The sequence below is a fragment of the Homo sapiens genome, chromosome 20, assembly GCF_000001405.40.
Source record: "Homo sapiens chromosome 20, GRCh38.p14 Primary Assembly".
In the NCBI taxonomy this organism is placed as follows: Eukaryota; Metazoa; Chordata; class Mammalia; order Primates; family Hominidae; genus Homo; species Homo sapiens.
The window spans coordinates 41,163,851-41,191,506 of record NC_000020.11 but is presented as its reverse complement, the minus strand read 5'-3'; the positions used below and the strand labels follow the sequence as shown (position 1 = coordinate 41,191,506).

At 49.1% G+C, this 27,656-nt stretch overlaps 2 protein-coding genes and 1 non-coding gene across 32 annotated transcripts in view, besides 1 other annotated feature; 1 reads left to right on the top strand and 2 right to left on the bottom strand.

The window, feature by feature from the left end:
* ZHX3 (zinc fingers and homeoboxes 3) overlaps nt 1-13,052 on the top strand; it is a 139,277-nt gene extending 126,225 nt beyond the window's left edge. For 16 of the 25 annotated variants that reach the window (NM_001384317.1, NM_001384325.1, NM_001384316.1 and 13 more), the window contains one exon: nt 6,306-13,052. In NM_001384317.1, coding sequence (NP_001371246.1) covers nt 6,306-6,316 — 11 coding nt within the window. In that variant the 3' untranslated portion in view covers nt 6,317-13,052. Of the gene's footprint in view, nt 1-5,529 lie in introns of all 25 variants that reach the window. The other 9 variants (XM_047440036.1, XM_047440037.1, XM_047440039.1 and 6 more) reach the window with 1 other exon arrangement.
* Nucleotides 13,881-27,656, bottom strand: part of PLCG1 (phospholipase C gamma 1) — a 40,084-nt gene continuing 26,308 nt past the window's right edge. The window contains exons 11-32 of one of the 6 annotated variants that reach the window (NM_002660.3): nt 27,501-27,586; nt 27,306-27,426; nt 26,406-26,574; nt 26,140-26,262; nt 25,956-26,057; nt 25,681-25,868; nt 25,113-25,313; nt 24,912-25,031; nt 24,648-24,828; nt 23,578-23,655; nt 22,637-22,740; nt 22,332-22,428; nt 21,981-22,050; nt 21,238-21,395; nt 19,218-19,314; nt 18,862-19,086; nt 18,630-18,778; nt 17,973-18,087; nt 17,694-17,855; nt 17,496-17,584; nt 17,196-17,383; nt 13,881-17,040 (exon numbers count right to left, since the gene is read on the bottom strand). In NM_002660.3, coding sequence (NP_002651.2) covers nt 16,998-17,040; nt 17,196-17,383; nt 17,496-17,584; nt 17,694-17,855; nt 17,973-18,087; nt 18,630-18,778; nt 18,862-19,086; nt 19,218-19,314; nt 21,238-21,395; nt 21,981-22,050; nt 22,332-22,428; nt 22,637-22,740; nt 23,578-23,655; nt 24,648-24,828; nt 24,912-25,031; nt 25,113-25,313; nt 25,681-25,868; nt 25,956-26,057; nt 26,140-26,262; nt 26,406-26,574; nt 27,306-27,426; nt 27,501-27,586 — 2,866 coding nt within the window. In that variant the 3' untranslated portion in view covers nt 13,881-16,997. Of the gene's footprint in view, nt 17,041-17,195; nt 17,384-17,495; nt 17,585-17,693; nt 18,088-18,629; nt 18,779-18,861; nt 19,087-19,217; nt 19,315-21,237; nt 21,396-21,980; nt 22,051-22,331; nt 22,429-22,636; nt 22,741-23,577; nt 23,656-24,647; nt 24,829-24,911; nt 25,032-25,112; nt 25,314-25,680; nt 25,869-25,955; nt 26,058-26,139; nt 26,263-26,405; nt 26,575-27,305; nt 27,427-27,500; nt 27,587-27,656 lie in introns of those variants that run through there. The other 5 variants (NM_182811.2, XM_005260438.3, XM_047440207.1 and 2 more) reach the window with 5 other exon arrangements.
* Nucleotides 17,943-17,992: an enhancer, noted in NCBI's record as "active region_17891". NCBI's record gives its function as "activates an Ori minimal core promoter by ATAC-STARR-seq in GM12878 lymphoblastoid cells {active_cell/tissue: GM12878}" and the evidence as "EXISTENCE:reporter gene assay evidence [ECO:0000049][PMID:35858748]".
* On the bottom strand, nt 22,429-22,484 carry MIR6871 (microRNA 6871). The gene has a single exon (NR_106931.1). It is a non-coding gene; the product is annotated as a microRNA 6871 (primary transcript).

The window sequence follows — 27,656 nt, the reverse complement described above, 5'->3', positions numbered from 1 at the left end:
TAAACTCACAAAATCCCAGAAAAAGAATTCAAATTATTGAGTGTAAGGAAGCTCAATGAGATGTAAGAGAATGTGAAAAAGAAAAACAATTTGGGAAATGAATGATAATTTTATCAAAGAGATATATGTCATAAAAAAGCAAATGCTGGAATAGAAGACTTCATGAAACAAAGTACAGAATACAATTGAAAGCTTCAACAATATATTAGATCAAGCAGAAAAAAAAGTCTTAGAGCTAGAACACAGGTCTTTTGACATAACTCAGAAATAAAAAAGAATAAAAAATGAGCAAAGCCTTTGTGACATATGGGACACAATAAAGCAACTACATATCTAAATTATTGGGATCCCAGAGGGTTAAGAGAAAATGAAAGAGTGAGAAAACCTATTTAATGAAATAATATTAATAGGTGAAAACTTCCCAAATCTCACAAGAGATTTAGACATCTAGATATAGGAGGCCCTGATAGCCTCTAAATGGATACAGTGCAAAAAGGTATTCTCTATGGCACATTATAGTCAGACTCTCTAAAGTCAGATAATTCTAAGGACAGCAAGAGAAATGTGTGTAAGCAACTATAAAGGAAGCCCCATCAGACTAACAGTGGATTTCAGCAGAAACCTTACAGATCAGGAGAAAATGAGATAATATGTTGACAGGGCTGAAGGGGAAAAAAAGTAAGCCAAGGATACTATGTCTAGCAAAATTATCCTTCATAAATGAAGGAGAAATAAAGTATTTCCAAGACAGGCAAAAGCTGAGAGAATTGATCACCACTAGACTGGCCCTACAAGAAATGCTCACAAGAGTCCTAAACATGGAAGTGAAAACATGACATTTAACACTATGTAAAACACACAAAAGTATAAAACTCACTGGCAAAGCAAACACACAGATGAGGAAAAGACTCAAATGCTACCACTACAGAAAACTACCAGAGTACAATGCCAAACAAAAGAAAAAGGAAAAAAATATATAAAACAACTAGAAAACAACAGTATAACAATAACAAAACCTCACATATCAATAATCCTTGGCTGGGCATGGTGGCTCATGCCTGTAATTCCAGCACTTTGGGAGGTCAAGGTGGGCAGATCACCTGAGGTCAGGAGCTTGAGACCAGCCTGGCCAACATGGTGAAACCCTATCTCTAAAAATACAAAATTAGCCAGGCATGGTGGCACATGCCTGTAATCCTAGCTACTCAGGAGGCTGAGGCAGGAGAATTGCTTGAACCCAGGAAGCAGAGGTTGCAGTGAGCCGAGATTGCACCCCTGTGCTTCCACCTGGGCTACAAGATTGCACCCCTGTGCTTCCGCCTGGGCTACAAGAGCGAAACTCTGTCTCAAAAAATTATAATGCAAGGATGGTTTAACATACACCATTCAGTTAATGCAATACATCACATCAACAGAATGAAGAGCAAAAATCGTGTGGTCATCTCAATAAACAGAAAAAGCATTTGATAAAATTCAACATTGCTTCATGATAAAAAAAAAACACTCAGAAAACTGCATAGAAAGAAGATAGTAAAGGCCATAAATAAACCCACAGCTAGCATCATACTGAATGGGGAAAAGCTGAAAATCCTTCTTCTGAAAACTGGAACATGACAAGGATGCCCACTTTCACCGCTCCTATTCAGCATAGTACTGGAAGTTCTAGCCAGAGAAATCAGGCAAGAGAAAGAAAAGGCATCCAAATTGGAAAAGAGAAAAATTGTCCCTTTTTGCAGATGACATGATCTGATACTTAGAAAAACCAAAAATGCTCCACCAAAACTCTTAAAGCTGGTAAGCAAATTCAGCACAGTGGCAGGATATAAAGTTAACGTACAAAAATCAGAGTTTCTATACACCAATAATAAAATAGCTGAAAAAGAAATCAAGAAGGTAATCTGATTTACAATAGCTACCAAAAATAAAAAAAGATACTTACGAATAAATTTAATCAAGGAAGTGAAAGATCTCTGCAAGGAAAACTGTAAAACACTGATGAAAGAAACTGAAGAGGACACAAATGGAAAGACATCCCAAGCTTATGGATTGGAAAAATTAATATTAAAATGGCCACACTGTCCAAAGCAATCTACAGATTCAATGCAATTGCTATCAAAATACCAATGTGATTTTTTCACAGGAGTAGAAAAAAACCCTAAAATTTGTACAGAACCACGAAAGAGCTAAAATAGTCAAAGCAATCCTAAGCAAAAAGAACAAAGCTGTAGGCATCACATTACCTGACTTCAAAATATATCACAAGGCTATAGTAACCAAAACAACATGGTATTGGTATAAAAATAGACCCACAGACCAAAGGAAAAGAAAATAGAACCCAGAAATAAAGCCACATATTTACAGCCAGCTGATTTTCAACAAAGGTGCCAAGAACATGCAATGAGGAAAGGACACCCTCTTCAATAAATGATGCTGGGAAAATTAGATATCCATAAGCAAAAGAATAAAACTGGACCTGTATCTCTCACCATATACAAAAGTTAAGACAGATTAAAGATTTAAATATAAGACCTTGAATTATGAAACTACTAGAAGAAAACAGTGCAGAACACTTCAGGACATTGGTCTGAGCAACGATTTTATGGCTAAGACCTCAAAAACACAACTAAAACAAAAATAGACAAAGGGAACTATATTAAAAATCTTCTGCATAGCAAAGGAAATAATCAGCACAGAGACAATATGTTGAGTGGGAGAAAATATTTGCAAAACTATTCATCCAACAAAGGACTAATATCTAGAATATATAAGGAATTCAACAAAAAATCATATTAAAAAGTGGGCAAAAGGTGGGGCACAGAGGCTAACACCTATAATCCCAACACTTTGGGAGGCCGAGGTAGGTGGATCACTTGAGCCCAGGAGTTTGAGACCAGCCTGGGCAACATGGTGAAACCCCATCTCTACAAAAATTAGTCGGGTGTAGTGGCACATACCTGTAGTCCCAGCTACTCAGGAGGCTGAAGTGGGGGGATCAGTTGAGCCCAGGAGGTTGAGACTGCAGTGAGCCGTGGTTGTGCCACTGCATTCCAGAGCCTGGGTTACAGAGCGAGATCCTGTGTCCAAAAAAAAAAAAAAAAGGTGGGGGTGGGTGGGGGGACAAAAGACATGAATAGACAATTCACAAAAGAAGACATACACATGGCCAATAGGTATATTAAAGAACACTCAACATCACAAATCAAAAGGGAAATACAAATCAAAACCACAATGAGATGTCATTTTATCCCAGTTAGAATGGCTATTATTAAAAAGACAAAAAATAATAGAACTGGAGGTCATTATGTTCATTGGAATATCCCAGGCACAGAAAGACAAATACACGTTCTTACTCATATGTGGCAGCTAAAAATCTTGATTTCATGGAGATAGAGAATAGAATGATAGATAGCACAGGTTGGGAAGGGTGTGAGAGTAGAAGGGGGAAATGAAAAGAGGTTGGTAAATGGGTATAGACTTATAGTAGATAGAAGAAACAAAGTCTAATGTTAAATAGCAGACTAGTGTGACTATGGTTAGCAACAACATATTGTATATTTCAAAGTAGCTAGAATAGAGGACTTGAAATATTACCAACACACAGAAATAATAAATACTAAGGTGATGGATACCCTAAATATGCTGACTTGATCATTACACATTCTGTGCATGTAAAAAATATTCACATGTACCCCATAAATATGTAAACTATCAATTATAAAAGAATAATCCATCCTAAAGTTTATATAGAATCTCAGGGGACCCCAAATAGACAAACTGAGAAAAAACAAAGTTGAAGGAGTCACACTCACTTGATTTCAAATTGTACTACAAAGCTACAGTAATCAAAACAGTGTGGTACTGGCATAAGGAGAGACATACAAAACCAATGGAATAAAATAAAAAGCCCAGAAATCCCCACGTAATGGTCAATTGATTTTTGACAGGGGTGCAAAGACCATTCAATGGGAAAAGACAGTCTTTTCACCAAAAGGTGCTGGGAAACTGGATATATACATGCAAAAGTATGAAATTATACTCTTACCTTGTACTATATACAGAAATTTACTTAAAATAGATCAAAGAACTAAAAAAAGCTAAAGCTATAAAATACTTAGAAGAAAATAGAATCCTTCCAGATTTTTGATTAGGCAATTATTACTTTTTTTTTTTTTTTTTTTTTTTTGAGACAGGTTCTTGCTCTGTTGCTGGAGTGCAGTGGTACAATCAAACCTACTGCAGTTTCAAACTCCTGGGCTCAAGCAGTCATCCCACCTTAGCCTCCTGAGTAGCTAGGATTACAAGTGTGCACACCTGGCTAATTTTATTATTACTATTTTGTGTGTGGGTGTGTGTGTAGACAGGATCTTGCTATGTTGCCCAGGCTGGTCTTGAACTCCTGACTTCAAGCATTCCTCCCCAACCTCCCAAAGTGCTGAGATTACAGGTGCAAGCCACCCCATCTGGCCAGGCAATGATTTCTTATGTATGACACTCAAAGCATAGGCAACAAAAGAAAATAATAATTTGGATTACGTCAAAATCTAAAACTTTTGTGTTTCAAAGAACACTGTTAAAAGAATGAAAGAACCCACAGAATGGGAGAAAAGAGCTGAAAATCATACATCTGATAAGAGATTTATATTCAGAATATGTATAGAACTCCTAAAACTGAACAACAAAACCAATTCAAAAACGGGCAAATGATTTAGACATTTCTCATAGGAAAATATACAAATGGCCAATAAGTACATGAAAAGACGAACCTTTGGCATTAGGGAAATGCAAATCAAAACCACAGCGTGATACCACTTCACACTTAAGATGGCTGTTACAAACACACACCCAGAGAAAACAACGTGTTGGGAGGATGTGGAGAAACTGGATCCCTTGTGCATTGCTGGTGGGAATATAAAATGGTACAGCTCCTTGGGAAACGACTTTGTGGTTCTTCAAGAAGGTGAATATAGAATATTACCATGTGATCCAGCAATTTCACTCCTAGGTATACGCCCCAAGGACTGAAAACAGGGACTCACATATGCATGTACATCAGTGTTCTTAGTGGCATTATTCACAGTAGCCAAAAGGCGGAAACAAGTACTTACCACCAGATAAATAAAGAAAATGTGTGTGTACATACAGTAAGATATTATTCAGCCAAAAAAGGAATAAAATTCTGATATATCCTACAACATGGATGGACCTTGAAAACATTTTTGCTAAGTGAGATGTCAAGACACAAAAAGACAAATATTGTACCATTCAACTTACATGAGGTATCTAAAATAGGCAAAGGCATAGCGATAGAAGGTAAAATAGAGGTTACCAGGGCCTAAGGGGTGGAGGACATGGGGAGTTGTTGTTTAATGGATATATAATTTCTGTTTAGGATGATGAAAAATTGCTGGAAATAGAGTGATGGTTTTATAACATTGTAAATGTACTTAATGCTACTGAATTGTACACTTAAAATTGTCGTAATGGTGAATTTTATGTTATTTATATTTTACCATGGTTTTTTTCTTAAAGTCAACATGGAAATGTGATGAGTGGATTTGAATGACAAGCATTGGCTCCCCTCAGCTACTAAATCCAACACAAAGTGACATGTTGCTGTCCTTTGTGGGACAGAGCAGGAATGGCAGGGGGTGGCCATTGCCATTGGCATTGTTCTCTTCTGTCTGAGACAGGTAACTGTGGGTACAGGAAGGGCCAATCTGTTTATCTGTACCTGGTTTCTCATGGCTTTCTCAGCCAGCTGCAATTAAGGACCATTTCTTTATGAATCACAGATGATGAACCTCTCTGATATCAGCCTTACTTTGACTTTGATGTTAGGGTTGCAAGTTACAAATGAAGTGAAGACATCAGTAGAATACATATCAGAACTAGACCCAGCTGCTATTATATTGGAACAGTATGTTCTGGAGAGCCTGGAAGGAGAGGGCAGGATGAAGCATTTTAGGACAGGACTCCAGAGACGGTGGTGGCGGAAGCCTGGGGAGCTAGGGGGATTTAGTGGGCCTGGAGAGGCCAAACCACTGCTCCTGCTGCTAGGCCTAGGGTTTAGCAGGGTCTCTCAGAGAGTCTGATGGCCTTACAAGGTTGAGCCAGCATCCTGTCCTTAACCCACATTCCCTCAGGCTGGAGGGTGGGGGAGTGGGTGGCAGAAGGCCATTCATTGCTCATGGAATTAAGAGGTCCTCAAAGCCAGTGATGCCACCCTGGTATAGCAAGGACCAGGCTGCCTGGGGGGCAGGTGGTGGCAGCTGCCGTAGAGTGACAGGCATGTGTTTTCTTCTCAGAAACAGACTGAATTTGATCTGATTAATGTGAAGGACTGGCCAGTCTGGGAAACCGCCTGCCACGTGGAAGAGCCAAACCCGACTCTCTGCTGCCACATGCCGTTCCCATGCCCGGCTGCTGGGCACCTGGGAGAGCTTCCAGAATCCTCGCAGACAGCCCAGAGCCTGCCGCTACCCTCGGCCTGCCCACCACCAAGCAAGCAGCAAGCAAGATGGGGTTCTCATCAGTTCTTCCTCCCACAATGTAGGACCTTTCCTTTACCTTCCAATGGATAAAATAGTTCAGAGTTCATAGTCATATTCATAGACACAGAATCAAGCTTTTAACATATACATCCACCTCTATATGTTAAATAAAACATCAGATTATCAACACTGTCATTACGTAGAAACTTTGGTTAGCCAAGCAGTGCATTGTCAGTTACGTCATCTCTAAAAATGACCTGTGTCTGTTCTCTGGGGATTGCTGGGTCACAGGTGCCCCTCACCTTCCACAGTCAGGCAGGGAAGTTATAGGCACAAAGCTACGTCTGGAACCCCTTTGTGCCCCCTTTGTGTTCCTCAAGGAAGCAGTACCTTTGAAGAGATCTCTGCTGCATTAAGTGATGACCGGCTACGTTTCATGTCAGGCTTGCTTTGCCTTGTGGGCTACTCAGTGCAGAACCTGCTGTAACCCTCAGTTCAAAAAATGGACTGGCAATGTGATTAGCGTTGGATGCTTTACCATTCTCTTTAGTTGTTACCGTAATTCTGCTTTTTCATGGGAGTTTGAATCATGGACCATAACTTTTCAGTTATCAGATCAACTAAAGAAACATTTGTTGTTAAGCCTAATGTGCTGACCTATGTGCCTGCATTTTTTTTTTAATCTAGACATGTTTGGAGTGAGAGAAAGATGGAAAAAAGACATGGGGTAGGGACGTAAGTGGAAATCTATAGCCACAGCCTGAAGCTTTGACCACTGCGGTTTTCAGAGCCCTTTCTCCACACTCATTTCAGAGCCTCCTATGGTTTGGGAAGGAATAACACACTGGCCCATTAGTAAGGGTGAAGGCTGGAGGGATTTGTTGACTTCTTGGAATTATCAGAGGTAGGGTGGTCTTTAGCACAAAGACTTGCATGCAGAGATCCCTGGCAGAACACCCAGAGTGCCCGTGGCTCCCACCCCAGGGTCTGGCCGGTGTGCTGGATGCATGCCCAAGGGTGCTGGGCATCACTGGTCCTTGTGAGGATGCTTTTAAAGTTTTATATTTATGTCCCCAAACTTGGAAACAAGAACTCTACTTTAGCCTAACCCTCATGTCCTTTTTTGAATTGAGAAAATTACAGGAAATGGTGCCTTTGAAAATTAGAAAACTTGCTTACAGAGCTGTTCTAAATGGTAAATCCTCAATTTCCCCAAGACCGGTTGCTCTGAGAGTAGCTGGTAAAGAGGGGCGAACTAAAGACCTGTCCACCTGTAGCTCCGCTCATTTCTTAGAAACCACCTGCTTCCCAGAGTGCCAAGCCACAAGTACCAGGCTTCGTGGGCACAGACACCTCCTGGGCTGGGCAGAGTGACAGTGCTAGAAGACCCCAGAGAGAGGGCAAGGGCTTTGGGCAAGAAGCACTGGTGGTGTTTTAGGGACCGTCCTTCTCCCCTACCCAGGGAACTGGACCTGGCAGGGCACCGTGCTCATGTGGCTCCAAGGACAAGCATGGCGGTGGCCCCTTCTGCCTTCCAGGAGAGGTCTTGCTTTTGAAACCAAAATCATGTTCTTCTAAAGTGTCATCTTCTGCCCTCCCTGTCCCAATAGGGACCACATCTTATTTGTCTCAAACAGGGACTTGTGAGTACTTGGCAAGTTTTGCAGCCTATTTTTGTATTCTTAATTTGGGGAGTAAAGATGTTTGGTCTCAAAAACCTTTGAGGAATTGCCAAGAATGGCGAGTGATTGCTTTCCTTCAGAGAACAGACACTTGGAATTTCTCCTTTTAGTGTTTATATACGTGCAGATTAATTTATATATATATATATACACACACACATATACAGTATAAATACTCATTTGATTCTCGTAAAACGCGCATCTGGCGTGTGCAGTTGAGAAACTTGGTGGCACATGGGTGTTGGGGGAGTAGCCTGTGTTGGAGGGACACCAGTGCACTAGGCAGCTGGGGCGGCCCAGGCTGAAGCCATCTCCGGGTGTCTGAGAAACCACCCAGTGCCTCACCTCCAGATCCTGCTGGCATCACCTCCAGAGCCCTGCATGCACTGGCTGAAGAGTTGGTCTGTGGAGAGGATTTTCTTGGTTACTTGTATTCACGGTTAATTTACAACCCAAACAGCAAAACACAGTTGGTGGACAAGTTCATGCAGGACCTACAGTGACCCAGCCATGGGCACTAGCTCATCTTTCAGGTGGAAAAGTACAGTGCTGCCTGCCCTGGTATGTTTTTCTTATAGATGTTAGCCCTGCCCAACAGCCAGGGCTACACTACAAAAGGCAAGAATGCCCATGTAAGGAGCCCAGCAGTCTGGACAGATCCTTCTTCCTCTGCTGTTGGATGAGAGTGAGTGAGTATGCTCTGGACCTTATCCTTGAAAGATGATCAAAAGCGATGATGAGGGAGGCAGTCATCACGCAGGTGCTTAAAGGGACATTGTAGGAGGTACTCAAGGGTTTGGGGGCAAAACCCTGAATCCAGCCAGTCGTGCACAGAGACACACCCACACTAGCCCAGTGGCAGTGGGGGATGTGGGATGGCAGCAGCCAGGTATGTAGCCCTGTCACAGGACAGCTCACTGTGGTTTTGCACACTGCCTAAGGGTTAAATTGTGTTGTTGCCTTCAGTAGAAGGCATTTGTGGGCTGCAGAGTTGAGAGTTGGGTGAGGTTAGTCTCTCCTGAAGAAAAAGCCTATAAAAAGTGGCTAATCTTATCCCTTTTCTCTGTATGCAGTTGGACTCGTCAGAGATAGTAAAATCATCTTTTAGTGTTTTTTTGTTGCTGATGTCTTGTACCCATTTGTTTTTTACATGGGGTTGTAGATCGAGTTCTCAAAGGTGAAACCAGATGATCATTCTGATAAAGGAAATTTAAATTTGATACATATGCTTTGTATATTTTGATTACTTGTTTTCGTTTTTGACTATAAAGGAGCTTTTTTATTTTGGGAGGGGAGGAGTGTCATTTTTGAGAATCTTGGGTTCCTGAAAAAGAACGCCCTAGTTGGATGGCTTGCCAGGGCCTTGGGGTTTGGTAGTGATTGTACAACTTAAAGCTCCTTTCTCTTGGCTGAGTGACAGGTGGCTGTTCAGGTGGACCAAAGCACCTTGACACAAGGACTCCACACTGTGCTCTCTAGTAGCACAAGGAGGAAGTTGGACAGAACATTGGGTAGTGCCTTGCGGGCTCACACATGTACTAGTGGTCTCATCTCCAGCTAGCCTTGGGAGGCCGTCCCACCAGGAAATCTCTCTATTCCGTAGCCTGAGATGTGCCCTTGTGGGTTTTATCCTGCTCAGTCAGTGGCCTAGGGGCAGGTCCTGTGTTCTCTCCCTCTCTCTCCTGGCTCTGGGACATCTGTCCCTGGCTGCCTTTCATGGAGGAAGGACACTGGCCTTTCTGGTTGGATGCTGTGTGGATGCTCTCTGCTTGAGCCTCGTGGTCTCTTGTCTCTTTTTGGACCAATATCCTCAGATTGGTGCAGCTTTTTCAGTTCAGATATCACACCCCAAGTGGATAAAGGCAACTTGCAGGAGAGGAGAGCCAGCCAAGAAGAAAATTTTAAAACCAAACCTCGTTTAGGATTTTCCTAAAGTCATCTTCTCTTTTTTCTTGCTCAGAGTTTACCTGGGAGATTTCACCAGTTTGACTCACCATTTGCAGATGTGCTTTTGTATTAAATTTAAATTTTCACATATCACATCCATTCTCAAGGTAGTTATATGCTGGAGAAGAAAAATCCTCTAGACACATGAAGGCCCACATAGTCAAGTCTTCCAGGGCAAAGCCAGCAGCCCACCCAGGTCAGGTAGCCAGCAGGGCTCAGTTCCCCTCACTCCAGACACGGACCCTCCTCTTCAGGGTCTCTTGACCCAGCTTCCTTCTCTCCTTTTACCTGAGAGCACAGACCTCTCTCAGCCAGCCTGCCCAGACCACGGGGGGCTACTCCCATGTAGTTTGGGGAGCACTTGATCTCAGAAAAGCTCCATTGTCTGAGCAAATGGGCAGTTGTGGAGCTCAAGCCTTTCTCCTGTGCTCAAGTCCCTTCCCCAAGCAAGGCTTCAACCTCATCTACCCACCATGTAGTTTTCTCTGGCCATTTAAGTGGGGCGGCAGGGACATGGTTGGGCCATGCCACACCAGGGCTGGTGAGGCAACCAGTTTTGATTTTGACAGAGTGGCTGGAGGAAAAGTGGCAATCAAGGTGCTGCTTGGTTTGCTCTGAGTGCAAATGGAACCAACAGGTTTCTGCTGCAATCTGTGTGTTCCCAGTGCCAGGTCACACCAGGAGGGGTGGGGCAGGGCTAACCAAGTGGTCTCTGAACTCACCGAGCGTCTGCACTTGGTTGTGAAGTTAATGGGAGTACAGAGAGCGTCTGGCCTTGGAGAGGGGTTGAGAGCCTCCTTTTTGGTTCTTCATTCCTGAGCTCTTGCCTGCCCACAAATCTGACCTCTTTGAATGGGGACGCAGTCCTTCAACAGAGAAGTTTCTATGGCAAAGAAGTTTCTATTTAGCTCTAGATCCAGCAGAGTCATCCATTCTAACTGCCCTGAAGTCTAGAGCAGGGGAGGGAACCCAGAGGCTGGGGATGAGACTAGGCAGACCCTGGTTACCATATGGACAAGGACAGGGGAAAGCACCCCCTTCCTCAATTTCTGAAAGTTCTATCTTTGGGTTCGCAGGACTTTGAGGATGATAAAGAACATATAGGTACTAGCTTGTTGTTGCTGGTCCAAAGCTTCCACAGCCCTGAGAATTTGGCTTTCGTGGCTGCTCTGGCAGCTGAGCGAAGGGAGGAAGGCAGCCGCTCTGGTGGGGACTCTAGGCACCTTCCCTGCTGTCCACTTGGATAGGCGGTGAGCCCCAGGGTACTGAGAGGAGCCTGAGCATTTACCTGCCATTAGTGCCTCTTCCTTCAGGAGACTGGCTTGAAACGTGTGTTCATGTGCGCGTGCACACACACACATGAGCACCTGTATGTGTTAATGAATAGTTTTTCTTGGTTAATGCTTTTTAACTTCTGTTCCTTTCCGTAAGTGGATGATTCAAAATTAACGTGACTTGGCTGGGCGCAGTGGCTCACACCTGTAATCCCAGCACTTTGGGAGGCCAAGGGAGGCGGATCACCTGAGGTCAGGAGTTCGAGACCAGCCTGATCGGCATGGTGAAACCCCGTTTCTACTAAAAATACAAAAATTAGCCGGGCGTGGTGGTGCGCGCCTGTAATCCCAGCTACTCAGGAGGCTGAGGAAGGAGAATCACTTGAACCCGGGAGGTGGAGGTTGCAGTGAGCTGAGATCGTGCCACTGCACTCCAGCCTGGGCGACAGAGCGAAACTCCGTCTCAAAAAAAAAAAAAAAACTTAATGTGACTGGAGTTAAAAGTGAAATGTCAGGTTGTTTAGTCACTGAATAGAGAGCTACAAGTGCTTGGTCTTTCCCAAGAATCAAACCTGAGTAGAAATACATTTAAAAGAAAAATCTACATGGTACCTATGAATCCTGTAATTTGTTTAGGGAGATCTTGTCACTCATCCCTGGTTCCTGCCCATACTGTTTGGTCTCGTTCTTGCAGTTTGCTTGGAACAGGGCCAGAGCCCCACATGAGATTGTCAGCAGGAGTGAGGAGCGCCAGTCCCTACTCCTCAGCAGGGACCCAGCACAGCAATCCGGTTGTTCTCGGTTAGACTGGGTCGGGGCCAGGGGAGAAGCAGTCACCCCTGTGTAGAGGGTTCCCGCTGTGCTTCTGAGCAGTTGCTTTGTTCAGAAGTGTTAGGAGGGTCAGATTGTGCCATAATTGTTATTAAAGAGAAAACACGCCCACCTTCCTTTCTCCCCTGCTGGCCATTGTTCATTGAGTTTTACTGAGGGCAGCCTTTGTGGAAGTCAGGGAGGTTGCCAAAGGCCTGTAGATGCCTCCTGACAAGGTCTTGATTCCTGGTTTTCTAGCACCCATTTGCATTTTGGTCTTCAGCACAAAGCCTTGTTCCCTGTGGCCGGACTTCTGGGCAATAAGACTGGGGAGTGACTGTTGAGCAGTCTGCTGTCAGGAGAGATGGCTGAAAAGGTGATCATCTTGGTGCTAAACAAGTAAGAGGCAACTGCCCTGTTTTTGTTTGTTTTGAGGCACAATGAAACTTTAGCCAAACTCTGCAAGAGGGTCCCATCTCCTGCCATGGCCAGGTGTGAGAGACCAAACCGAGAAAACAGCATACTCTATCACTTAAGCCTTGGGTAGAATGGGAATTCTTTACCCTGGGTAAACGTTTTAACAAAAAAATGGAACTTAACTTCGGTTTGGACTGTGGTCGTGCTGAGGCAGGAGTGGGGTTGCCCTCTTGGGGCTGAATCTCCAGGCCTCACGAGGTCCCCTGTGGGGATGCTGCTATTTCTAAGATGCAAATTGCACATTTCCTAGATTTTGTATCTGTGGATTTGGATAAGGGAGGGGAACACGGACAAATTGCTTGTACAATTTGAAATGGGCCTCAATGGTACTTCAAACCTTTTGATTATTCCTAAATAAAAACATAAATATATTTCACATCTGCTGACTTATTTTGTGGGGGAGTCAGGAAAAAAGCCAAAAACATTTCACTTGTTCTTGCCCACTTCTGTGGATCTTAAACTCCAGTGGATGAGTGGGGCAGTTTCCCTCAGCTCACCAGAGAAGTTCCAACTCACTGTCTTCTGCATTGCTGAGATCACCACACTGGCTTCTACATGAGAAAACTATGATATTTTAGAAATTATGCTAAATAGACAAAGGCAAACAGTCAAACCTGGTATCATCTGGTGAGAGGACACTGGCAAGTTCTTTTCTGTTTCCTGTGAGAGTGCTGAAAAGCATAGCCTGTCATTTGCTGGGGCGGTGTCGGGGGTTAGGGAATATGCATAAGGACCCAGGGGCTTTCTGGAGGAAAAAGACTAAAGCCCCAGCTTCTAAGACCCAAAGCATTTGAATTTTGTTGGGGTGGCCCTGAAGGCCTGGGACAGAAGGAAAAAGGGTCCTTTGAAATGAAATCACCTACAGTGGAGCCAGGCAGTGATTCTGGACACCAGAATAGGAGTCCAGCTTATGTCATGGGGAAGCAGCTGTGTGTGTTGAATCCCAAAAACCAGGTCCTTGGAAACTAGACCAAACTGGCATGCAACTGGCAAAGCCAATCAGCTGAATGCTGTAGTGGGTAGACTCAGGCAGTGACTCACTTGGGATACTATGGGTGGAATTCGCAGGAGCGGCCAGCCAGGGGGGTTGCTGTGGGGTTCCTCCAGGCAGGGAACAGAATGCCTAGATTAACCCCTAAGCACAAGTCCCCTGGGAATTACTAAAGTACCCAGAGAAGACAGGAGTTGCAGTCTGAGACTGTGCTTGATCCATTTAATTAAAATGTGAAGAAGGCATGATCCTTTCATTCACCGAGTTAGTCTGGTGGGATAACCTGAACCTATTTGCTTTCTACCCACCCTCAACAGAACTCACATGGTGAGTGATGGGCTCAAGTTGAAAGACAAGTGAGTGTCTAGGTCCTTAGTGATGTTCAAGCTCTCAGGTGATGTTCAAGATGTGCTTGGTCAGGAGGCAGACCCCTGCCTTTTCTGCTCATGGCCACAGATACTCAACTGAGGTCAGAAACTGCTCCTGCCATCTTCCCGCAGGGCAGTCTTTAGTCCTGTGGCGGGGGCAGAATGCCCCTGACCTTGTAGGCTCTACTTTGTATGTGTACATGTCTGCTGAGCCAAAGCTGTTGAAAGTGAAAGGTCTGTCACTTTGAACCCAGTCTACTTGTCCCTGGTCTGTCAGCCAGAAGGTTCTACTGGTGATGGCAGGAGAACAAGGAGCCTGCAAGGGAGCCCATCTACCTTCTGGTACCACTGACTTCCCTCTCCCGGCCCTGCCTGCTCTTTTGGTTTGTGCTGCCAAAATCAGGGTTTTTCAACCCTTGTTACTCATTTAAATCACCTTGAGAGGTTTTGAACAATACCTATGCTAAGGCCCCGGGTACCAGTATTTTTCAGAAGCTCCCCAAGTGGTGCTAATGTGCTGTTAGGGTTGAGACTCCACAGGTCATAACCCTGAGCTGTCGCACTGTAGGGACACGGCCTGCATGCATGGGATGGGGCAAACAACTCCTGATGCCAAAGCATTCGGCCCCAAGTAAGGGTCTTCCCCACCAACAAACACTCTGCCTTCTGGGTCAATCAACATTTGTCAGGTCTGGAGGAATCTTGAAGTGAAAATGATCTTTAAATTTGCTTGAGAGTTGGCACGTTTTCCACTAGGAAGAACAATCAAAACATTTGCAGTGAGGCAAAGGCAATGTCTTACAGAGCCCAAGAGAGGTGAGCCTCAGGTCTACAAAGCTGCCTTAAGAAAGGCAGAGCTGTCTGTTCCCCAGGTTGTGTTCCAGAAAGACACTTGTTCAGCAAATAGAGATACGTATTGATGAAAACTAAAAGGGTCAACACTAACAAACACGCCAAGGACGTCCTAACCAACGTGGATGGGCCCTAACAGAAGGGCCTACACAGTCCTCTTCCTTCTCTGATAGGAAACCTTTCTCTCCAGGCCATAAAAACCTAGAGAGGAAACATGGATCATGAGGGCCCAGGTGAATTCCCACCCACCACCTTCTTGTGTATGGGAAAAAGCCACCCTCCTCTCTATGAACTGGGACTGTGAAGCTGTAAAAGAAAGTCACACAAGAACCTGAGCACTATCGCTGTTTGATACTGGCTATCATCAGTTCATGTCATCCACGGAACCGGATCTATCTTAAATTTTTTGTGTGGCGTCATTTTTGTTCCATCCCAGCACAGCCAACTATGGAAACAGAGCTTCAGGAAGAGAAGGGCCTTTCAACTGTGTTGAAAGGGCCCAGAGATTTCAGCTGCCAAGTCCTAGAGGCAATCAGAATGGCACCTGGCAGTGTTAACGAACTGAATGCAACATTTTTGAAAGGAGAGGTTTCTGTGGAACTGGAAAGGGGCTCTGGTTGTTTCCAGCTCACCACCAAAACTGGCTGGCCACAAAGAACCCAGGCAGGATGTACTCTGCTCAGACACACCCTCAGAGGGTGGGCAGGAGAGAGTGGACCCACAACTCCTGTTAGCCCAGAGGAGGGGTTACAGCTCTTGCTGCTTAACCTGAGAAATTTCCAGAAATTTCCTACCTGCTTCTACTGCAGAATAATCATCTGGCGACTGTTTCTAGTGAGCATGTCCCATGCAACAGGCTTTCCTGAGCCCCCGAAAGAGCATACAAGTCAAAGGAAAAAGGACATGAGGATGATTTATTTGGCAGTCAGATCTTAAGAGGGCAGCAGAACTAGCAAATGGCCAACCCTGAGCCCAAATGTGGGCAGTAGGTTTGTGTGTGCTGAATGCTGGCTATGCTATGAGGCACCTTTGCGCCCACGGGCCTGGACCCCGGCCTCTGTCCTCAGAGGTGAGGGCTGCCTTTCTAACCTTCCCATCTCCATCCCTGGATCTTTTTACCAGTTAGAAGCTGCAGCAAGGATGGCAGCTTCATTCAGCACCTAACTGCCTGTACCCCACCCACCCAGGAGTCAGGCAACTCCTCAATCCCTTTTTCATTCCTCAGGGAAAGCATACTGAGTCTTCTTTGACTTAAAAACAAAAAACCTCACCAAAATAGGCTCTGCTATTTCTTCTCTTCCCACCCTGGCCCGCCCCCCATTCCTGACAGTGCCTTACATCACAAACTAAGTCCTCTTAACACAGCAGGCAGCCCACCTGCCACTCTCCTCTCCAAGGTTTCCCTACAGGGGTGAGGAGCAGGAGGAGTAAATAACTTAGTTACAATACCATTGAGACGAAAAATAATACTGCTATTTTTAACATGATCCCCTGTATCTTTCAGGCTGGGTCATGTTCCCAGCCATGGGCAATGTGCCCTTGTGCTGTGTCCTCCTCCTCAGGCAGGGCAGAACCCTTCTCCATGCAGGCCCTACATTCCTCTGCCCTGGCTCCAGGGCCAAACTGCAGGGGCATCTAGCTTCTCACCCTGCCCAGCTGTGGTTTTAAAGCTACAGGACAATGTAAACTTTGTTTCCCTGGCCCAGCAAGGCTCCTCCTCCTCCTCCACTCTTAGGAATGTCAGTAGCTCCTTGGAGTCTCCTGTGCCACTGGCTGAGGCAGCCTCTCTCTCCAAGGGGCTTCGGCCATGGTCCTGGCCCCACAAGATGGAAGGATCCATCTCCAGAAGTCAGGGCCAGATGTGTGTGCTTAATGCGAAACACAGTACAGTTTTTGCCTTCATCCAGAGCTGGGGCATGGAGGCCCAAAACAGTAATAACATCTCATTAATGGCTTGGTTTCTGTCTAGCATTCACTGCTGGAATCCAGGCTTCAGGCTGCGAGACCCGGAAGGCCGCCACAGGGGGCTGCTTCCAAAGAACCCAGTTCGCGGCATTCTACAAGGCGCACAGCACCTGCTGCTCTCCAACGAGGCTGGGGTACAACTAGAGGCGGTTGTCTCCATTGACCCGAGTCCTTCTTGGGGCCCTGGACAGAAGGGAAGAGTGTCCTTACTGGCAGGCAGGGCCTTGCAGCCCAATGCCAGACAATATTACAACTTTTCTACCCAGGAGAAAGAAACACTGAAGAAGGAGGACCTAGCCACTGCCTTCCTGGCTCTAGCACCCCTCCATCTTCCTCACCTTCGTTCTCGACTGTCAAAATGGTCTGCGAGATGCTCCTGGGAGATGCGGAAGTCCTCAAACGGCTGCTGGTAGCGGGATTCAAAGGAGCCTTCCCGGGCTCGGCCATGAAACAGCTGGCCTGAGGCATCTGAGCCCCGCTCCCGCAGGGACGTACCACTGAAGGGACTGAGGTCACCATTCTCCTGCTTCAACGAAGCCAGGTGCACAAGAGGGTCAATGACTCCTCTGCACTTCTAGAGGCTGCTGCCTGGCTCTCCTCCCACCTACCCCAGGCCAGCCCACCCCTGCTGCAGATACCTTGGCAGGGAAAATGTCAATCTTGATCAGCAGGGAGGCCAACTCCAGGTCCTCACTGTAGTTGTTCTTCAAAGGCACTGCTCTGTATCCTAGGAGGAGGAAAAGCCTGGCCCTCAGCCCACGAGGGACAGAGCAAGGGGCCCAGCCCCACCCTGCCAGCAAGATTGCAGGGGCACTGCCTCCAGGAATGGTCCTCACCTGTCTTCAGGCCTTTTACTGGGAAAGTAGCCTGAGCCAGGAAATTCTGGTCACTAAACATGTCTTCCTCATACACCACGAAGCGCAGAAAGGCAAATTCAGGGTTACTGATCTGGAAGTGGAAGGGCTTGGCTGGCCATACAGGGTTGAGTCCATTGTCCACTGTGAAGGCAACGACAAAAGGCTTCAGGTCACCGTGGGAGAGGATGGGATGACTGGTGGGGAGAGGCTTGCAGTGCCCCAGCAGGATGAGGAGGATGACTGGGAAGACAGACTGACCCACAAACTCTGTCTTCTGCTTGGTGCTGTCATACTCAGCTCCAGCCACCTCAATCTCCACAAAAGGACACACAATGCCTCGGCCATTCTTTGGCAGATGTCGGGCCCCCAGCACCTGTAGGCAGACAAAGAAGGGCCTGGGATTGTCCTTCCTGCTCCCTCCAATTCCCCACTGCGGAGGCTCAGTCAGCATCTGTGGAGTGGAGGCAGCGCGCCCTCTGCTGGGCCCCCGGGACACTGCCCATGGAGTCCCTCACGACATCAGGGACCCTAAGCTGTCCAGAGCAGCTGCTGCCTGTAGTTTATCTGAAGTCTGAGCTTTAGCCAAAATTTCCATGTGAGTTTTGCAATCTACTTCATGTTAAATCCATTACTATTTTAACACAGAAATCTTTTAAATGACCTCCCCTTAGGGAAAAAAAAGATCTCATCAGAACAAAACAAGTCATCAGAACAAGTCACACCATGGCTCTGCACGTCCTAGATGCATACAGTGACTGCATGCTATCTTCACCCCTTCAAAGACTCAGCTCAGGCCCCACCCACCCTGACCACCTTGATGCCTGAAAATACCTACTTTTGGAGAACTCAACATAAACAGACTCCAACGGCAAGCAGCCCCTTTCCTACCCTGAAGCCCAGATGAGCAGCACCCACCTCAATAGAGATGGCACATGGCTCCAGCCCGCGGAGGCTGCTCTTGTCAAAGGGGTCGAAGGCCTCATCCCGCATGGTGCTTGGCTGCAGCACGTAGCCACAGTGCCTGCCCGTCATGAAGAGGGCCTGGTTCATCTGCATAGGCTTGTCTGGAAGAGGCAGATTATGGTGTATTCCAGTCCAGCTGCCCCACAGTGCCCCTCCTCACCCTCCTCACAGGGGACTTCCTCACCAGGGGTCTGGAAGTTGAGGGCCACAAGCTGACTGCCACAGATCCACATGGGCAAAGGATCGTAGTTGGAGGAATCCAGTCGCTGGCCCTTGGGGTAGATGCGGGAGAGCTGCAGTCGATTGTACTGAAGGAACTTCTTGCCTTTGGCCTTGTTCACGTATTTCTCAGCCTTGGTTTCCGGGAAGGATGACATGTCCCGGTAGCAAGCACGTTCTGTGCCAATCTCTGGGCCAAACAGGGAAAACACTTACAGAGCCCGCCCACCCAGGAAGTGTTGGGGGGATACCTAAATACTCTTTTTGCACCCACCAGGCCCTCCAGGCACATGCACACCCCGCCTGGGCCCTGGCCCTTACTCTCTTCATCAAAGGGAACAGGCCGGCAGTAGACGACAAGTTCAGAGAGCTCCAGGGCAATCTTCTTCCTCCGTTCCATTATCTTCCCTTCAGTGAGCTGGTGACACACACAAGGCCCTGTAGCCCCAGGCTACAGCCCTGCCCAGGAGAAGGAAGCCCCTGCCAACCTTGGGCATGCCCACACTGCAGGTGCTCTGGGCCCCTCTCCCACCTTCCCCTGTACCTTCCAGACACCACACCCAACAGTAAATGAGGGAGCTCTGTCCTCAGCCTCATCCTGAAATCATCTTTCCTCTTTTCTGTCCCAGAGGACACATTTGCCCTCCAACCCTCTTAGGGGGGGTGGGGGATACAGACTCCTCATCACCACCCATGTTCCCAGTGACCTTCCAGGGATCCTGGAATTGGCCACACTCCCAAATGACACTTTCTGACCATTTATTACCCAGCCTCATGCTGGGGTAAAAATGATTCTTCTGTGTTACCTGTGACTGCACTGGGGATACAGGCCCCTGGCTTGGTTTCCATCTGTGTCCTAAGGATGATCCTCACTGCCTCAGCGCCCCCAACTCAAATATAACCACCCACTCTTCATGGCAAATCTCCATGCCAAATCTCTACAGAAGCCCACTTACAAGCACCCCAACCCATCCTCTCCTGGAGGACTTTCTTTCAGTGGCTTTTTTTTTTTTTTTTTTTTTTTGAGACAGAGTCTTGCTCTGTCGCCCAGGCTGGAGTTCAGTGGCGTGATCTCGGCTCACTGCAATCTCCACCTCACGGGTTCAAGCGATTCTCCTGCCTCAGCCTCCCGAGTAGCTGGGATTACAGGTGCCGGCCAACATGCCCGGCTAATTTTTGTATTTTCAGTAGAGACAGGGTTTCACCATATTGGCCAGGCTGGTCTCGAAGTCCTGACCTCAAGTGATCTGCCCATCTCGGCCTCCCAAAGTGCTGGGATTACAGGCGTGAGCCACCACGCCCGGCCTCAGTGGCTCTTACATTCAGACTCTTCCCTTTTCAGCCTAGACCCCCAGATCCAGTCCTTCAACCACCTGGTATGCCAGCACCTTTTCCTTCTAGGGGACAGCCTGGCAAGCACCCTATCCCTTCTCTATTTGGCTTGCGGGTGCCCTCTCCAAAGCAGCTACAGACCCATCTACCAAATGCACTTGGTGAAAGGGCCACCAAGTAGGAATTCCCTAACCCTTGAGAATACTTCTCTGTTCCCCCAGGCTCAGGGGAAGAGGCCACCTTCTCCAGAAGGCTGGTCCTACCAGCTAAGCTTGGGCTCCATCTCCTCCCACACGCTGCTCGCTCCTTTCAGCCATCTGCATGAGAGCCTGCTCAAACCCCAGTCACCTGTTCTCTCCCTCAAGGACAGGCCCTACAAAGGCTCTGCTTTTGCCATTCCAGACTCCCTGCTGCCCACTGCCATCTAATGCCAGCCATGCTGCTGATGCAGCTCAAAAGTCTCACAAGGGCTATTAGCTGCTGCTGAATCCAAAGGGCACTTGCAAGTTCTTATCGTTCCTGTCTTTACCTCTGTAGCTCTCAACACAGCAGACCCTCTCCCTCACCAGTGGCCTGCAGTCTGTCTGACCTGCCTTTCCTGGGCTCCTTTCCTCGCCCATGCCTTCTCATATGGAGCTTCTCAATCCATCCCAAGTTCTCTTCCTATGCGACACCACCTCATCCCTTCTATGCCTCAGCCCCCACTCCACTCCTGCTTCCAGCCCAGGACTTCTCCTCTTACCTCTGGTCTTGTGTATCCAATTGCCCACTAAGCAGACCCACTTCAACGACCCATCAGTATCTCAAACTCAACACAACCTAAACACACCACATTGCATCTTATGTGTCTGTTTCTTCTCAATCCCTAGCTAAGGCAGGGGCTGTGGCCTATCTAGCATAGGCCATCGGCTGCCCCACTGCTCTGAGGGGGCCTGTGCTGGGAGCTGGAGGCCTCAGCTGCCTGACGGGCCCACACACTGCCCCCCAGAAGGTTCCAGCAGAATCTCACCCTGGCGTCTGCTGTCTGGGCCACTTCACGGATCTTTTTCACCCAGTCCTGCAGCTCCTCCTGTGAGTCGGCAGCAACATCCAGGGACCAGTGGGCCACCGACGCCATGCTGATGGAGAAGACGAAGAGCCGGTTGTTCTTGCCCTCAGGACGGATGGCTGGGAGGGCGAGAGCAGATAACAGCTGGGAATAGACATCTCACCCCCTCCACCCCACTCCACACCGCAGGCACTGGCTCAAATGAGTTCTATCTCATCCCATTTCCTCCTTCCCACACCCCATGAGGGGAAGGACTACTCTGCTGGCCCATTTGACAGATGACGACGCTACAACTCAAACAAGTCACTGCTGGTTGTGGTGGAGCCAGTGTTCCAACTCAGCTCTGACTCATGCTTCTTCCTCAGGCCGTGTCTCCCTCTCCACCCCATCTCCAAGCCTCTGTCACATCCCTGTGGTACAACCCATTAGGCCTGGGGATGTCAGCCAACCAGCAGCATCAACTTTGTTCTGCTGATTCTGACGGGTTCCCCAGTGCCTGGCATAGGTAAACATGCAGGGGTCAAAGCTGACAGTGACAAAGGGAGCCCAGGGTGTCAAGGGGATGTCCAGAGCATGGGGAGAGCTTGGAGTGAGGGCAGACTTTGGGGTTCAGCCATCAGCTTCCTCCCTAGGAGCAGGAAAGAGATACAAAGAAGAATCTCACCCTAGGGAACAGTGGGCAAGAGAAACAGATGGGAGCTCACCAATCTGACAAGCCGGCACATCCAAGACCCCCCGCAGCAAGTCCCCTAGGGGGCTGTTCTCGTCCAAGTGCTGTGGGAAGCAAAGCCCACCAATGGTCAGCATGGCTACTGCATATGTGTGTGAGGGGATATCCGTGTGCATGGGACAAATACATCTTGTGGGTGTACCTGTGACTGCCAAATGTAGCACAGGTATATGGGAGACTACGTGCATGGCCACATGGGCTGTGCGACCAGCCCATGTGACAGGTGTCTGTGCATGCACGTGCGTGCTTGGGACTGTGTGATGGGGGCATGCCAAGGAGAATCTGGGAATAGGGAATGCTGTTACTCAGGTGGTTCTGGTCTTACCTCCCTCTCCGGCTCCAGGGCCACGGGGTTGACCATCTCTTCCACGTAGTTTGATGGGAACCACAGCTGCTTCTTCCCTCCGTAGTCCCCTCGCCACCTGTGGGAGCCACAGGGTGCTGACCTCCAGCAACCACCCCGAACTCCCATGAGGAGGGTATCCTTTGGTAGGGGTTCCCATGCCTAAGCCAGGGTGAGGCAGGCACTGCTGGTGCACACAGGAGACAAGCACATCACAAATGCATGTCTTTGGGGCCCCAGCTCCACTGGGGCCCTTGGACTCTGGGCCTACCACACCACTGGCTTACCAGCCTCCCTCTTGCTTCTCCACATTCTGGATGATGGCGCTCTTGATGAAGGTCAGCTCGTCCTCCCTCTGGGCCTTGTAGTCAAAGAGGGCTTTGACTGCACACTGCAGAGGTGAGAAGCACCAGTCAGAGCAGAAAGGCTCTCCCTGCCACTGCCAACCTGGGGCTTCATGTGCACACACACATGTGCTTGGGCTTCCCTGCCTGGGGTCAGGCCAGTGGGAGATGACACTGCCATCAACAGGCCCTAGTTATAGTTCTTGTTACTGCCCTGCAGGGAAGCTCCAGGACAGATATGATCAGAGAGGCAGGGCCTCTGCCAGTGAAATACCTCGGGACCCAGGTGGAACCTTAAGCCCCACCCTGGGCCACAGGGAGAACCTTGAATCCGCTCCCAGGAGTCAGGGCTGGCAGGCCAAGAAGGCAGGGTCTGCAGTGGCCCTGAGTGCCTCCCCGGGACCTGGAAGCATATGGGGCCTGGATGGGACCCTACCACTCATCTGTGAAGTGGAAAGAAAAACTTCCTTCCAGGTCCCCTGGCTGTGGAGGGGAGGGGGTGAGAAATAGGGCCCAGGCCTTTTTAGAGAAAAAGGCAAAACAAAAAAGAACCTGTGTAACAGGGCTCCATGAGGCCGGGGAATGAGTGGCCAGTGTGCCTCCCAGCTCCTACCCCGCTGCTGCCCAGGAAGGAAACAGGGGTCACCCACAGGAGCAGTTTAAAGGGTCACTGCTGACTTAAGGGGTAGGGGCTAGGGAGTGGGTCGGCCCTGGGAGACCTGCGGTCGCTCACCAACCACACATCTCTCACAACCTCTTGGGCCTCGGAAAACCACAACCACCACTTCTCCACAAAGACCACAGATGGCCCAGAACACAGAAATGAAGCCCCAAGCAGCTGGGGACCCTCCCCAGCTTCCTATGCCCAGAGGCCTGAGCTGTACCTTGAAAGTTGGCATAGGGTTTGCCTCTACATAGAAGCCAGGGTTGCGTCCCTCATACAGGGCCCCGTAGTCAGGCTCCTGGAAACAGGACACAATGGGATATGTTAATGCCCCAGAGCCCAGAGGTAGAAAGCAGCTACTGGTTTCTGGAGCAGCTTCCCTTTCCCCCAGTGCAGCAAACTTGCACCTGATCCACAGGGATCCTTCGACCTCAGTAGAGACGGCTTCAGAGGCCTCAGGCCCGGCCTCACTGTTCCCTTTCCTTTCTTCACATTCTTACATGTAAGGCCCAGCCCAGGATTCTAAAATCTCTCAGGTCCTAAATGCCCAAACTCCCAAGTATTTCTGAGCTATGTGCAGGTGGGCCCTTCACAGACTACCCATATTCAGTGCTTTAGTTCAGTGGCTTGTTGGTTCACTGCTGAGCCCAAAGTCAGGAAAAGCCTTCCCACTCCCCACATTCCTCCTGCCGCTCCTCTCCATCACTTGAGTCCCAGGTGCCAGTGGACAACAGGCCTCTCTCTCCCCAGCCAGCCCTGTCTACTGACGACAGCAGTCTCTCAACTGATCTTCTGGTCCTAGACCCCTTCCTTCTGTCCAGGGCCCTTATCACCAGCTGTGCTGCCATGGGTCCTGACTTTTTCCCTCACTGGTCTCACCTCCTGTGGCTCTGCCCTCCATACCATCCACCAGGCGGAGGCTCCACAACCACTCTTGGGTAGCCTCATCTCATCTGCCCTAGGACAGAGTCCAGGCCAAGCCCAGGTGGATGAGTTTCCACTGTGTGCACCTCTCCCAGTGTGAGCCCCAGAACCTCCTCACTCCACATCTTGACTCATGAGGAACCCTCTGCTTATGTGCCTGTCCCCATCCTTAAAGATGCTGCTCAGATGTCCCCTCCTGCAGACACCCTCCTGGTACCCACACTGTGGCTCCCAGCTGGAGTCAGGGGCCCTCCCACGAACTTCTACAACACACCAGGTCTTGCTGTTACACACATCCAGAGACTGGTAAGATTCTGGGTCTCTCCTGCCTCCCCTGCCATGCCCCGTCTACCACAGCCCCCTCACAGCTGTGCCAATCTTCTCCAGTGCCTCCTCGTTGATGGGATAGCGCAGCTTCATCTTGCGGTATAGCGGGTGTTTCTCATAGTAGCTGATGAGGTCAACAAGGCTGTCGAACTCCGAGTTCCCTAGCATCACTGTCTGGCCCTCTTGCTGGACACGGCAATGCTTGATCTTGCCCTCAGCCCTTCACAAGGACAAAACAGTCACACAGGGTCAGGGCAGCTCAGACCCAAGCAAGGCCCCACAACCCAGTGCCACACCCCTCACCGGAAAGAGATGGCATATGAGTTGGGTTCATTCCGCTTCCGCACCAGGAAGGCCCCATCACGAGGGACGCGCATTAGCATGTGCTCAGCCTGTGCTCTGGTCAGGCTCGCGTGGTACCACCTGAGAACAGGCAGAGTCAGGCCCGGCCAGCACCACCCATGGCCCTGCCCTGCCTTGTCCGCCCCCAGGCCCTTCCCTCACTCTTTGCTCTCGTGGGCGTTGGTCTGTGGGACAGGCTCTGAAAGTCGCATCTCAAACTCATTACAGCGCAGGGGCACCTGCTGGTAGTGCGTGATGAGGTCATAGAGGGAGTCAAAGACGAGGTTGTCTGTCAAGAAGAACTTGGGGGTCCCAGCATCTTGCCGGGAGTGGATACGGCAGTGCTGGACTTTCCCGTTCCGCCTGTGGAAGACACAGAGTGAGGGAGGCTGGGGAAAACAGGCCAGGGCCCCAAAGACCAAGTTCCACCCCAAATGAGGGTGGAACTCAAGGAGGGAGCCTCAAGGAGGGAGGCCAATCTCCTGAGGAGCTCAGGTGTGGGCAGTCACATGAACCAAAGGTGTGGGCTTCAAATGAACCGAAAAGGGAGGGGTATGGGGGGGGGGTGAGACAGAGAGTGTGTGTGTGTATGTAGGTGAAATTATGTTCCATGTAAAGCCTAATTATTGTCCTGGATCAAAGGCTCAAATGTTAACTGATTATCTCTGGGTGATGTGATGTCTGTGTACACACGCTGACTGAACATACGCATCTGCATGGGAAGTGTTACCAGAAAGAGAGCGTGTAGTCGCCCACGAAGGTCTCACTCTCTCGCACGAGGAAGGAGCCGTCAGGGGCTCCGGTCTCGATGCAGTACTCAGTAAGCAGGCGCTCAGCGATGTGACGCCCGTCACGCCCTGCCCCTAGCTTCCCATGGAACCACTTCTCATTGGAGTGCAGCTCTGTGCTGCTGCTGACCTGTCAGGGGAAGGCAACAGCAAAGATACTGTGACCCTGGCCCAGGCCTGACCTGGCCCAGCCCCCAGACCTGAGCTGGTTCCTCACCTCCTTGGGCTCCTCCTCATCCTCGTTGCCCTGGTCACTGCTGGTCTCCTCAGAGTAGTAGATCTTGCTGCTGGTCAGAACAAAGTAGTGGGGATACCATTCCTGGAACAGACCAAAGAGGGACTTGTGAGCCAGGGTCCTCACACCCACTGGCCTACCACCCCCAGCCTGGCCCAGTCCTCACGTGGTTCACAGGGTCCTCCAGGTAGAGGATGCCATTCTTGATAGAGTTGCTGATGTCGTTCTCAGAGTACATCATGGATGTAGGCACCTCCTCGTAGGCACTGCCCTCAGCCAGCTTCTTGTGCTGTAGGGGCAACCAGAACAGGGCAATGCAGACCCCAGTCCTCACCCCACCTCCTCACCCAGGTTTAGGCCCAACAGCTGAAGCCATGGCCTGGGCAAGGCACTGAGAAGTGTGGGGCTTCCGCAATAAGCCCGCCACCCCACCTTGATGAGGATCTTCCTCTTAAGCTGGTTGGGTGAGGGGAGCCCGTCGGCAGAGATCTCCACGGGCTTGGTGAGGAGTGTGTCCCCCAGCACCTTCTTGAAGTATTGGGCCATGTTTCTCTGCTGGGCAATGCTGCAGTGGTCCTCAATGGACAGGATGACTGGGTACCTGCGGGATGGGGGACAAGCACAGTGAAACAGATTCTGCAATTCTCTGGGTCTAAGTAGCCCCTCACAGTGAGCTGTTGGAAGCCAAGGGCCTGGGGGCTTCTTGTCTGTAAAAACTATCCCAGAAAAGAGGCAGGCCATAGCCACTGGTGGGGCAGAGAGGGGTTCTACAGCTGTGGCAGCAGTGGAAACCAAAGGGTGGCAACTGATGCAGTCCCGAGCTGGCCCAATTATGGAGGCTGCTCAGCAGTGCAAGAAAAATGTTTCACACCAAAGAGGCCAGGAGAGAGGAGAAGCCTCCAAAGTTAGCTGTTAGAGCCCTGGTGAGCTAAGGGAGACCAGTGACCACAGTTTAAGCAGTAAACAGAATTGAAGGAATGGGACACAGGGAACAGAGACAATCTTCTGGGCTGTGAGGGCAAAGGAGTTGGCAGGACACTGGCCTAAAGAAACCAGGGCATGTTTTCTGAAGATGAGAAGAGCATGTGTTCTACAGTCTAAAGGACCCATGAAGAAGAGAGTGGGCCCAACACGTAGGAAACAGAAAGTGTAACTTGGGAAGCAACAGCTCAAGCAGGGAGCAGGTGACGAGGAGAGGCCAAGAGGAAGGACAAAGATGAAAGGCTGAGGGAGAGGGGACAGGGCATTTGAGGAGTCTTTCTGCCCTCTGTCCCTCTAGAACGAGAGACCTGGAGCCAAGTTAACCCCTGGGTCATCCAGCCTCCGACTCACTCTGAGGCCACAAAGGCATGCTCCTTGATGGTGTGCAGGACATCTGAGAACTTGATCTTGGTGGTAAGGGTGTGCCCATGGTAAATAACTGGCATCCCATCCGGGCCGTCCCAGCAGTCCACTGGGGAGCAACATCACCATGGTCAAGCGGGCAGGCCTCCCATCTTCCCTCCCCCAGCCCTGGACCCCACGCACACTCAATGCAGCGACAGCCCATCCGCAGGCAGCGAGCATAGGCTTCCAAGGAGGACTCACTGGAGAACTGGTCCCCGGTCAGGTACCTGGATAGGCAAGGAGAGGCAGGTAGGTATGGTCAGATGGGCCCTCCTGGGGAAGAAGCTGGGTGGGCCT